This window comes from Homo sapiens, chromosome 17 (genome assembly GCF_000001405.40).
Source record: "Homo sapiens chromosome 17, GRCh38.p14 Primary Assembly".
NCBI classification, from domain to species: Eukaryota; Metazoa; Chordata; class Mammalia; order Primates; family Hominidae; genus Homo; species Homo sapiens.
In genome coordinates, this window is record NC_000017.11 from 82,946,148 (window position 1) to 82,959,192 (window position 13,045).

Here is a 13,045-nt window from a genome sequence, read left to right on the forward strand (position 1 = left end):
AGGAGAGAAATGGAACAAGAATAAAAAATACACTATCAAAATATGCAAGAATGGCAAGAGGAAAAGGCAGAACAAGCTGCAAAACACACACACAATTAGAAATAAATATTTTGGGACACAATAAATGTGAATGGATTAAAACCTCTGTTAATGACAAAGTTCTCCAGTTAAAGGAAGGCAAATAGTGTTATTAGGAATAGATTACTATATGATGATTAAAGGCTCAGTTCAACAGGAAGATGATTGATAGAACTTTCCTACATTTGTAACACAGTCTTAGAAGATACTAAAGCAAACATTCAAGAAGAAATTGATCACCTACTACCATAGTGTATTTTATTGAATTGGTACATTTCAATAAAGTGTCATAAGGCACGGTTGAAGGAGAAAAACTTGACCCAATGGACAGTTACAGAACCCAAGTGTGTGTGTGTGTGTACACAGAAATTTTAAAAATGTTTTTAAAAACATCTCTTTAAAAGAAATAATGAAAATTATAAAATATATAATGAAAGATAAAAGTTAATCAAAACAGATAGAGTTCACCTAAAGTGGTGCTTAAGCGATTCTGAAGTCGTGAATTATACATTACAGAAGAAAGGCTGGAAATTAATGAGCTGAACATAAGCAGAGGACTAACTGTAAAGAAAATTAGAATAAGAGCAGAATGAAAAGGAAATGAAACATAATAAAGAAACAAACCCAGATGGTTCTTCGGTGAAAAGACCCACCTGGGAGCAGCTGCCATGGGTCCGTCAGCTGAAGTGAAGGAAGTCCTGGCCCTCCTGCAAGTGCAGTGACCTCAGGTTGTCCTCAAAGGCGCCCCCTGTGAGGTCCTGTCAGGAGCAGCAGATTCAGCTCAGTCCGGTCTCCTGGCTCTAGGAGGCCACTGTGGAGCCTCCTCCAGGGCCAGGGGTTGGGGGTGGCCTGTGTCCACCTGTCAAGTGTTCTGCTCCTCTGCTAATAGCGGAGAGGCTGGAAGGAGACAAAGGCCAGAGAGGGCAGCAGCCGGCACTGCTTGTACCACAGGCCCTGTTGGTCACCAGAGGGGAGGCCCCCCCTGCCTTCTGGCCTTGCCTCTCTACATAAGGTGGCTGACTCTCCCTGGGGGCACTCGGAATGGAATGAGACTAACAGGCAATGCCTCTGCTGTTTGACCAGGGCAGACCCACCTTCCCTCCACACACCCACCCCTCTGCACAGGCCAGGAGTGGGAGGAGGCCCCTCAGACAGAAACTGCATCTCAGAACCATCAACAGCTGCCCCTGTCTGATCTCCTCTGGCCTCTGTCATCCCCACCCCTGCAATGGAGTGAGGGCTGTGACCCCGGGTCCCTGGATGCTTAATCTTGTCCTGTGTGCTGGCCTTGGCCAGGTCACCTACTCTCCTGTATGAGGCCACAGCAGGTGTCCAGAAATGCCTTTCAGACGTGCCCTGCACCCCAGCACCTCCTGAACAAGTTCCTGAAGACAGCCCGGCAGAGTGGTGGACACAAGTCTCTGGCCTCTGGCAGGACAGAGGAGGGACTATGCATTCCTGTCACAGTCCTTGGTCCTTGGGCCCAGCAGGAGGAATCGGAGCTTGGCTGCGCCCCTTACCCCCACCACATCAGAATCCATTACACCACCTACCACTGCTGTCACTCAAATGATGCTGTCACTCAAAGCCATCCTTCCTGGAAAACATTTCCACACACTCTGCCGCTATCTGTCCTTCCTCCCTTGTCTCTCTGCTCTAGAGTTTGCAAAGGAAACACACCTGAGTTCAGGGACCAGGCCAGCCCAGTGCGTGTTGACACCGTCTTAAACAAGACTCTGTTAAAACTAGATGCTTCTGTAAAGCAACATGTTCCATTAGGAGAATGAAAAGGCAAACCACAAAATGGAGGAAGACATTTGCAAAACATTAAACCAACAAAGTCGAGCAGCCAGAGGTGTAGGGGACTCCTACAGGTCAGGAGAGACGCAGCGTGCAGTAGGCCGGTGGGGAACCCTGATGAGAAACACCGCCAGAGAGGAAGGAACTCCAGTGTCCAGCGGGCACGGGGGGTTGTTGGTCAGACTCACACCTGAAACCACCATGAGAACACACTCCCCAAACGGCTGGCGACCAAGTGCCCAGCCCAGTGTGAGGGAGCCGAGCAGCTGGGCCCTCTGGCTCTGGGCATGTTCCTGGGCATCATCCAGAGAAGCTGAGGATGCAGCCACACCCACGACCTGCCTTCCACTCCCAGGATTAGACCCGAGGCAGGGATGCTCACGCAGGAGGACACAGCGTCCTTGCAAGGGCAAACCGGGAACCACTGCCCACAGGCCTGGGTCCTGGCGTGGCCTCTGGGTGGGGTGGCGTTTGCACACGGGACGTGGAGAAAGTCCACACCATGCACAGCGATACGCACACACCCCAAACACGTGGAGTGAAAACCAGATGCGAGAACACAGACACTGGATTCTGCTCACATGAACTACAAAAATAGGATAAATTAGACTATGGTTTAGGGATGTGTTCACGCACACGCCATGAGGGTTGGCCCTGCCAGGTGCCAAATGCACGTTCACAACCAACATAGACGGCATTTCGTTCCTGGAAAAGCAGTGATGTAAACGATGTTGGGACAATTATCCAAATAGAAAAATTGGCATCTGTAATCAAAAGAAATTCCAGTTGTATCAAAGATGTAATTAAAAACTAGAAATCCCAGAAGCAAAATGGGACAATGTTGTTTTTTAAATTTCACAACCAGGAGTGATTGTCTTAGAATGAATCAGACTCCATAAATGAAAGTCACTTAATTTGATTATATCACAATGGCAAAAATACAAAAATATCAAATGGCAGGAAAATTTGCAGCATGTCGGAGAGTTTTCCTTATGAAAAATACTGACCAATAGAAAAATGGGCTAATGAAAATAATAATTTACTGAAGGGGAAATAAAGCAGTTTATAAATATGTGAGAAGATGCTTTCCCTCCCTTTAAGGGCACGAGGCAGGTGCTCCATCGCTGGTGGGTTGGGTTGGCACAGCAGCTGCGGGTGGTGAACAGCCAGACTGGGATTGAATGTGTGTGCTCTTTGACCCAGAAATTTTTAGAATTTATTCCACACAGAGCCACTTGAGCGAAATTATGTATATATACAAATACTGCAGCAGCATTTTAAACAGCAGATGATTAAAAATGGCCAAAAGGTACATCAGTAAGTAACTGTATCACAAATGCATGAAACATCCATATAATCGAAGAGCGGGTGTTTTAGTGACAAACGTGAACCTTGGGTTTCTCTTTACTCTTCCAGCTAACGGTGGAGGAAGGCACAACAACAGTGCCACCGAGGTGCCCTGAGACCCGCAAGCTGCTCCCGCCAAACGGAATTGCAGGGGAGCCTGATGCGGCCTCGGTCTGACCACCTCTCAAAAGGATGGAGCAGAACACGCAAAACCACAGGGAACCGGTCGGCAGAGTGCAGGATACACAAGCCCATTCTTCAGCTGAACTAAGAAAAGAGCGTCGGCGTCAGGGAGACAGAAAGGTCATGTCGTAAAGGTCACACGGACGCTGCCGGGTTCCAGCAAGCAAACTTAAAACATGAAGCAATTTATAAGGCAATTAGGAAGATTTGAACATCGATGGGATATTTGGAATTCTGTGGTGGGATGGTGGTTTTATGGTCCTTTTAACAGTTTTTATCTCCTTGAGATAGGGAAATAATAATGGATGAAATTAGGCTAGAATGAGTGCCACAACACCAGCGTGGGGATTTGGAGGTGTGGAGGACACATAAGATGGACACGCTTGCTCCAGGGATGGGTACATAGGGCTGGTTTCCTGTCACTTTGCTAATATGGCTCAAATAAGCTGGAAATTTCCCTGAATAGAAAAGTCACAGCAACAGTAGAGCCCGGGGGCTCCAGCGGCTTCACACGGAATAACCTCCAATCTACACACGTGAAAAGAGCAAGAGATGGAACAAGCATGTGCTGTGAGGCCACACTGCCAGCTGCCCCTGGAAGAACAAGCAAGAGACAGGTGACCGTGGGGGCTCTGGGCCCTCCAAGGACACAGCGTGTGCAGGACAAGGAGGAACCTCTTTTCCCATGCTCAGCCGGCTCCCTGGGAAGGGTTTTCACCAAGTGCCTTGGGGTTCATATGAGTGCCCCAAGATAGTAGTGACACCACAGGTCACCATAACACATACGATAACAGTTTGACATATTGCGAGAATTACCACAAGGAGACGTGGAGTGGGCATGCTGCTGGAAGAGCGGCACTGACGGGGTTGGAGAGGGGGTCCCTGAGAAGTAGATCCTGAAGAGGCTGTTTCTGAAAAACTAAACCAGATTCGTGTAGAATTTGCATTTTATAACTGCTTCTCGGAGCCTCCCGTTTACTCACCTAAATGTCCCCGGTAACTTGGACAACGGTTATTCAAAGGTTTTCATTACTTTGCTCAGATCCATCAGAGCAATCACTATCTTTGGCGGCTACGGCCTTAGAAAACGTCTTTCTCCAATAAGACTGGAAAGTTGGAATGACTCCTGGACCCACGGTCTGCAGAACGGATGCTGTGTCAGCACAAAAACACGAACCCCTCGTACATCAGCCTCAGAGCTCCTGGGTGACCAGGTGCACCGTCAATGAGCAGTCGTATTTTGAAAGGAATCTCCTTTTCTGAGCACTGGGCCTAACGGTGGGCTTACACTATTCCATCAACCGTGCTGTGCACAGATGTGCTGCCACCTGGGCCTTGCCGTTCCATTTCTAGAGCCACAGGCAGAGCAGATTTAGCCTCATTCCTAAGAATCCTAGGATTCTCAGAATGGCGACCACTGCCTTCAACTTAACCCATTTATGGCTGAGGTTGCAATTTTTCGAATTTTTGCAATCAGATCTTGGCAGTGACCTTAAGCAGAATATAAACTTGCACATGCTTAGCGTTCCAATAATGGAACACTAGGCATAGATGGGTTTTAAAGTCACGGCAAAGAGTCAGACTGTCTTTTGAAGCTCTGAAGCCAGGCATTGACTTCTCCCTACCTATGAAAGGCCTGCATGGTGTCTTCTTCCAGTTCAAGGTTGCTTCCTCTACACTGAAGATCTGTGGTTGAGTGCGGCCACCTCCATTGTGACCGTAGCATGATCTTCTGGAGAGCCTGCTGCCTCACCTCACACTCATATTACGGAGACGGCTTCTTTCCTTAAGCCTTGTGGGCCAACCTCTGCTAGCTTCAAACTTATGTTCACAGCTTCCTCACATCATTCAGCCTTCACAGAATTGAAGAGAGTTGGGACCTCGCTCTGTATTAGGCTTTGGCTTAAGGGAATGTTGTGGCTGGTTTGATCTGTCAGACCACTAACACTTTCTCCCTATCCGCACTATCATTTGTGTGTTCACTGGAGGACCACTTTTAATTTCCTTCAATAACTTTTCCTTTGCATTCACAACTTGGCTAACCGTTAGGCTGAAAGCTGGGCCTCTCCTGCCAGTCGTGGCTTTCGACATGCCTTCCTCACTAAGCTTAAACATTTCTAGCTTTTGATTTAAAGCGAGAGACGTGCGACTCTTCCTTTCACTTGAACACTTAGAGTCCACTGTGGGGTTATTAGTTAACCTAATTTCAATGTTGTGCCTCAGGGAATAGGGAGGCCTGAGGAGGGGTGGGGTGGGGGGGAGCGGGGAGGCGACAGCTGCTGTCAGAACATTCGCATTTTATCAATCAAGTTCACTGATTCATATGGGCGCCCCGAGATAGTAGTGACACCACAGGTCACCGTAACACATACAGTAACAGTTTGACATATTGCGAGAATTAACACGTGGAGATGGGGAGACGTGGAGACGTGGAGTGGGCGTGCTGCTGGAAGAGGGGCACTGATGGGGTTGCTCTCGTGGGGCTGCCACACGCCTGTAATTTATAAAATGCACAATGAAGTGCAATAAAATGAGGTGCGCCAGTAGTTGCCAGAAAGCTGTGCCCAAGAGGCTCTGCTCACGTTGTTCTGCCTGGACTTGACTTGGATTAGTTGTGTGACAGCTCATCACAGGCCGGGCAGTGTAGACCAACACACGCTGGCCTCACGGCTTCTGCGGGGCAGGAACCGTGACCCGCCCTGGTGTGGCGTGCTTCTAGCTGTCACAGGTGCCCATGTCTGTGTGTCCCCCACAACCCCCCAACAGTACCGCTTGGGGCCTGGCTCACTCTATCAACCACTCACCCGTGGTTATTTACCAAGAAAATGCAAAGCAAAAAAAGCAGGGGTTGCAATCCTAGTCTCTGATAAAACAGACTTTAAACCAATGAAGATTAAAAAAGACAAAAAAGGGCATTACCTAATGGTAAAGGGATCAATGCAACAAGAAGAGCTAACTATCCTAAATATACACACACCTAATACAGGAGCACCCAGATTCATAAAACAAGTTCTTAGAGACCTACAGAGAGACTTAGGCAACCACACAATAATAATGGGAGACTTTAACACCCCACTGTCAATATTTGAGACAGAAAATTAACAAGGATATTCAGGACTTGAACGCAGCTCTGGACCAAGCGGACCTAATAGACATCTACAGAACTCTCCACCCTAAATCAACAGAATATACATTCTTCTCAGCACCACACAGCACTTACTCTAAAATTAACCACATAATTGGAAGTGAAACACTCCTCAGCAAATGCAAAAGAACAGAAATCCTAACAGTCTTTCAGAACACAGTGCAATCGAATTAGAACTCAGGATTAAGAAACCCAAAATCGCAGAACTACATGGAAACTGAACAACCTGCTCCTGAATGACTACTGGGTAAATAACAAAATTAAGGCAGAAATAACGAAGTTCTTTGAAACCAATGAGAACAGAGAGACAACGTACCAGAATCCCTGGGACACAGCTAAAGCAGTGTTAAGAGGGAAATTTATAGTGCTAAATGCCCACATCAGAAAGCAGGAAAGATCTAAAATCGACACCCTGACATCACAATTAAAAGAACTAGAGAAGCAAGAGCAAACAAATTCAAAAGCTAGCAAAAGACAAGCAAGATCAGAGCAGAACTGAAGGAGATAGAGACACAAAAATCCCTTCAAAAAAATCAATGACTGGTTTTTTGAAAAGATTAACAAAATAGACCACTAGCCAGGCAAAGAAAAGAAGAATCAAGTAGACACAATAAAAAAAGATAAAGGGGCTGTCACCACTGATCCCACAGAGATACAAGCTACCATCAGAGAATACTATAAACACCTCTATGCAAATAAACTAGAAAATCTAGACGAAATGGATAAATTCCTGGACACATACACCCTCCCAAGACTAAACCAGGAAGAAGTCGAATCCCTGAAAAGACCAATAACAAGTTCTGAAATTGAGGCAGTAATTAATACCCTACCAACCAAGAAAAGCTCAGGACCAGATGGATTCACAGCCGAATTCTACCAGAGGTACAAAGAGGAGCTGGTACCATTCATTCTGAAACTTCCAAACAATAGAAAAAAAGGGACTACTAACTCATGAGGCCAGCATCATCCTGATTCCAAAACCTGGCAGAGACACAACAAAAAAAATTTCAGGCCAATACCCCTGATGAACACTGATGTGAAAATCATCAATAAAATACTGGCAAACTGAATCCAGCAGCACATCAAAAAGCTTATCCACCATGATCAAGTCAGCTTCATCCCTGGGATGCAAGGCTGGTTCAATATACGCAAATCAATAAACATAATCCATCACATAAACAGAACCAAAGACGAAGACCACATGATTATCTCAACAGATGCAGAAAAGGCCTTCAATAAAATTCAACACCCTTAGTGCTAAAAACTCCCAATACACTAGGTATTGATGGAACGTATCTCAAAATAATAGCTATTTATGACAAACCCATAGCCAGTATCATACTGAATGGGCAAAAGCTAGAAGCATTCCCTTTGAAAACTGGCACAAGACAAGGATGGCCTCTCACCACTCCTATTCAACATAGTATTGGAAGTTCTGGCCAGGGCAATCAGGCAAGAGAAAGAAATAAAGAGTATTCAGATATGAAGAGAGGAAGTCAAATTGTCTCTGTTTGCAGATGACATGATTGTATATTTAGAAAACCCCATTGTCTCAGCCCAAAAACTCCTTAAGCTGATAAGCAACTTCAGCAAAGTCTCAGGATACAAAATCGATGTGCAAAAATCACGAGCATTCCTATACACCAATAATAGACAAGCAGAGACTGAAACCATGAGTGAACTCTCACAATTGCTACAAAGAAAATAAAATACCTAGGAATACAACTTATAGGGGATGTGAAGGACCTCTTCAAGAAAAACTATAAACCACTGCTCAGGGAAGTAGGACACAAACAAATGGAAAAAAAAAATTCCATGCCCGTGGATAGGAAGAATCAATATCATGAAAATGGCCATAAAATAATTTATAGATTCAATCCCATTCCCATCAAGCTGCCATTGACTTTATTCACAGAACCAGAAAAAACTACTTTAAATTTCATATGAAACCAAAAGAGAGTCTGTATAGCCAAGACAATCCTAGGCAAAAAGAACAAAGCTGGAGGCATCACGCTACCTGACTTCAAACTATTCTCCAAGTCTACAGTAACCAAAACAGCATGGTACTGGTACCAAAACAGATACATAGATCAATGCAACAGAACAGAGGCCTCAGAAATAACACCACACATCTACAACCATCTGATCTTCGACAAACCTAACAAAAACAAGCAATGGGGAAAGGATTCCCTATTTAGTAAATGGTGCTGGGAAAACTGGCTAGCCACATGCAGAAAACAGAAACTAGACCCCTTCCTTACAGCTTATGAAAAATTAACTCAAGATGGATTAAAGACTTAAACCTAAAACCATAAATACCCTACATGAAAACCTAGGCAATACCATTCAGGACATAGGCATGGGCAAGGACTTCATGACTAAAACACCAAAAGCAATTGCAACAGAAGCCAAAATTGACAAATGGGATCTAATTAAACTAAGGAGCTTCTGCTCAGCAAAAGAAACTATCATCAGAGTGAACAGGCAGCCTCTGGAATGGGAGAAAATTTCTGCAATCTGTCCATCTGACAAAGGTCTAATATACAGGATCTACAAGGGACTTAAATTTACAAGAAAAAACCTCATCAAAAAGTGGGCGAAGGACATGAACAGACACTTCTCAAAAGAAGACATGTGGCCAAGAAACATGAAAAAAAGCTCATCACTGGTCATTAGAGAAATGCAAATCAAAACCACAATGAGATATCACTGGTCGTTAGAGAAATGCAAATCAAAACCATGATGAGATACCATCTCACACCAGTCAGAATGGCGATTTCTAAAAAATCAAGAAACAACAGATACTGGCAAGGCTGTGGAGAAGTAGGGATGCTTTTACACTGTTGGTGGGAATGTAAATTAGTTCAACCATTGTGGAAGACAGTGTGGTGATTCCTCAAGGATCTAGAGCCAGAAATGCCATTTGACCCAGCAATACCATTATTGGTATATACCCAAAAGGAATACAAATCATTCTATTATAAAGATACATGCACGCATATGTTTACTGCAGCACCATTCACAATAGCAAAGACATGGAATCAACCCAAATGCCCATCAATGATACACGGGATAAAGAAAACATGGCACATATAGCCCATGGAATACTACGCAGCCATGAAAAGGAATGAGTTCATGTCCTTTGCAGGGACATGGATGAAGCTGGAAACCATCATCCTCAGCAAACTAACACAGGAACAGAAAACCAAACACCGCATGTTCTCACTCATAAGTGGGAGTTGAACAGTGAGAACACATGGACACAGGGAGGGAAACATCACACACTGGGACCTGTTGGAGGGTGGGGGGCAAGGGGAGGGAGGGCATTAGGACAAACACCTAATGCATGCGGGGCTTAAAACCTACATGGCGGGTTGATAGGTGCAGCAAACCACCATGGCACATGTAAACCTATGTAACAAATCTTCATGTTCAGCACATGTATCCCAGAACTTAAAGTAAAATTAAAAAAAAAAACTACTCACCTCAGCCCCCCGCAGCCAGCCTGGACTCCCCACGCTTGGGGAAAAAGGCTGCATTTGGAGCCCGAGGCACCCATCACCTGCCCACCCCAGGCAAGGGTCGTTCACACTCAGGGGCTGAGGACATCCCCGATGCAGCCACCTCAGTCCACGGGAGCTGGAGGTCCTGGCCTTGGCCCCTCAGACATGGCACCGCAGGGCCTCGTGCTTTGCAAGTTTCTAACAAATGTTGGCTTTATGGGTATTTTAAGACAGAAGAGAGACCGGAATCCATCCCCCCCACACCCATGCAGGCCACCCTCTCCAGCTGCCTCCTGCCCCCAGGGCAGCGGCCACCACCCCACAGCCTGGTCTGTGGTGCTGTTGTGGACGGCTGTGGCACCTGTCCCCATGCCCACCATCGGCTGGGGTCTCATCCCAGGCCACACAGTCATTGCACAGCAGGGCGGGTTGTCCAGGTGGCAGAGCCCGGGATCCCCAAGCCCTTCCACGGCCAAGGGCCCCACACTCACCAGCTTCACGCAGATGACGAAGGGTGGCCGGGCGGCTCGGAAGTGCAGGATGGGGATTCGGGGCTTGGGTCTTTCCTGAGAGTGACAGTGGCCATCAGTCCTGCCCGAGCCTGGAGCTTGTCCCCGGAGAGACGCCCTCAGGGTGCACGCAGCCACCAAGTTGGCTCACACAGGAGCCAGGGCTTGGGCAGCAGATAACGTGCCAGGGTCACAGACTGCGGCAGGTGTTCAGAGCAGGAACCCGGCTCCCGCCACCCCCGCCTGACACCCGACTGCAGAACTGACCAGGGTGGGCTACCCCAAGGCCTAGACCCACGAGGGACAGCGGGGTTCTCCCCCCAAGAATGGGGGCTGGGCTCCCTGGAGGCCCCGAGGAGCCAGCACGGCCCAGGTGGACTCTGCCAAGGGGGAAGGCTCGGAGCAGCTGTCCCTCAGCCCCGGAGCAGGTGGTTGACCCCAAGGGTGACACCATGCGGCCCTGCACACCTGAGAGTCCTCGTGGCAATAGAAGCCTTTCCTGATCTTGTTCTCGTCCACGTCACAGAATGCCACCACCTGGGGACAAGCACAGAAGGGCAGCTCTGGACAGGCCGGGGCCAGGGCCTGTGCTGTGGGACAGTACGGGGGCAGGGCAGGCAGTGTTGGAGGGTGGCAGGATGCTCACCTTGCGCTGGCTGCCGGCAGTCAAGCTGCGGTACAGCCGGCGCCCCTGCTTGCCAGCGTTCCAGATGGTGAAGGCCGCCCAGCGGGGCAGGGCCTGCTCTTCCAGGAAGCGGACGCGGTGGGTCCAGATGGTCGTCCTGCGGTGGAGAAGAGGGTGATAGGCAGGCCGGAGGCCCCACAGATGCACACAGATGCTGACATACAGGGACATGATGTGTGCTCAGCTCACGTTGCCAGTGGAGTGGACACCTGGCCCAATGCCTAAGAGAGACTGGCTGTCCTACAGTCAGGCCACCTGCCCCAGCTGGACGTAGCCACATGCCTAGGTGGGGATCCACCCCTTCCATTAGACCCCAACAGGTGGGGACAGATGAGAAGCTGTCACTTAAGAATCTAGAAGGTTCTGGAAGGCAGAATTTCTGTAGGACGCAGAGGACTGGACTTGACCCAAGTCCAGTTTCCCAGAGAAACCTTTGTCCATAAGGACACATGCAACCATCCCATAAAATCCCAGCGTTCACACTTGGACACGACCTTCTGCCTCAGGGTCGCTGCCCCGAACCCTTCCACTCCCCTGGGAACCTGGTCTCTGTTCTCCCTCTGCTGTGACAAGTCGACCCCAGGCTGCTGTCCCGGGGGGAGCAGGCTCCTTCCCATGACCTGCTGCTCTGCCCAGCGCCCAGCCCCATCGCTGCCCGGGCCCTTCCCAGCCCCGCCCTCTCTCCTCCCACCGCAGCCCCTCCCCACGTGCCCCATCGCTGTCTGCCTGTGTGTGCCTCTCCCTCAACCCTGCTCCTGGAGCTGCCCGGGCTGAGCCCGTCTCAAAGCCCCAGGAGCTGGACGGGCCAGAAGCTAGAGGGGCAGGGGATGCAGAGGCCAACGGGGCCAGAACGGCGTGGGATGTGTCCCAGATGCTGTCCTCCCCAATGGCCGCGATGTAGCCACGCTGAAGCCCGGTACCCCACAGACCCTGCCCTGGCCGAGTCCTGGGATGCCCTCTGCTGTGTCAAGGGAGCTGTGTCCGTGGGAGTCTCCTCCGGGGTGGGGTCTGGGCCAGACACAACCAACACTGGCTGGTGACGGGCCTCCCCTGAGCAGGGCCCTCGTGGGTTCAGCCTCGGGATCGGGGCAGGATTTCGCTGTTCTACGATTCTGCTGCTGCCTCCGCCTCCCGGGATAAACTTGTGACTCCCCCCCAACCCTGTGGCACCCCCTGTTTGTAGCAGAACCCCCACAGGCAATGGGATGGGGGGGATGGGGGGACACGGGGTCCCCTCTGTCAGCTCAGGGAGCTGCAGGGCTTAGGCACTGTCAGGGAGGTCCTGCCTGGAGTCTACCTTTTCCTCCCCAACCCTCTGCAGCCACCTCAATAGTCCGGACCCCACCTGGGACACAGGGAGATGCTTATCCCAGTCAGTGACTTGGGGACACTGAAGCATGTGTGTGTGTGTGTATACTGTGTGGGGGTGTATGGTGTGTGTGTGTGTACACTGGGGGTGTATGGTGTGTGTGTGTGTGTACACTGGGGGTGTATGGTGTGTGTGTGTATACTGTGTGGGGGTGTATGGTGTGTGTGTGTGTATACTGTGTGGGGGTGTATGTGTGTGTGTGTACACTGTGGGGGTGTATGGTGTGTGTGTGTGTATACTGTGTGGGGGTGTATGGTGTGTGTGTATACTGTGGGGGTGTATGGTGTGTGTGTGTGTACACTGGGGGTGTATGGTGTGTATGTGTGGGGGTGTATGGTGTGTGTGTACACTGTGTGGGGGTGTATGTTGTGTGTGCACAGTGTGCATGTGTGGTGAGTGCATGTGTACATGAGCACGTGTACAGTG

At 49.0% G+C, this 13,045-nt stretch overlaps 1 protein-coding gene across 17 annotated transcripts in view; it reads right to left on the reverse strand.

The window, feature by feature from the left end:
• The window catches only part of QTGAL (queuosine-tRNA galactosyltransferase), a 109,622-nt gene that overhangs the window by 3,999 nt on the left and 92,578 nt on the right, over positions 1 to 13,045 (reverse strand). For 12 of the 17 annotated variants that reach the window (XR_007065267.1, XR_002957964.2, XR_002957963.2 and 9 more), the window contains 4 exons: positions 11,212 to 11,347; positions 11,034 to 11,102; positions 10,548 to 10,622; positions 732 to 836 (listed from right to left, as the gene is read on the reverse strand). Coding sequence is in view for 8 of the 17 variants with exons in the window: in XM_047435396.1 (XP_047291352.1) it covers positions 756 to 836; positions 10,548 to 10,622; positions 11,034 to 11,102; positions 11,212 to 11,347 (361 nt within the window). In the remaining 9 variants the exon portion in view is untranslated. Of the gene's footprint in view, positions 1 to 731; positions 976 to 10,038; positions 10,255 to 10,547; positions 10,623 to 11,033; positions 11,103 to 11,211; positions 11,348 to 13,045 lie in introns of those variants that run through there. The other 5 variants (XR_007065266.1, XR_001752429.2, NR_135465.2 and 2 more) reach the window with 4 other exon arrangements.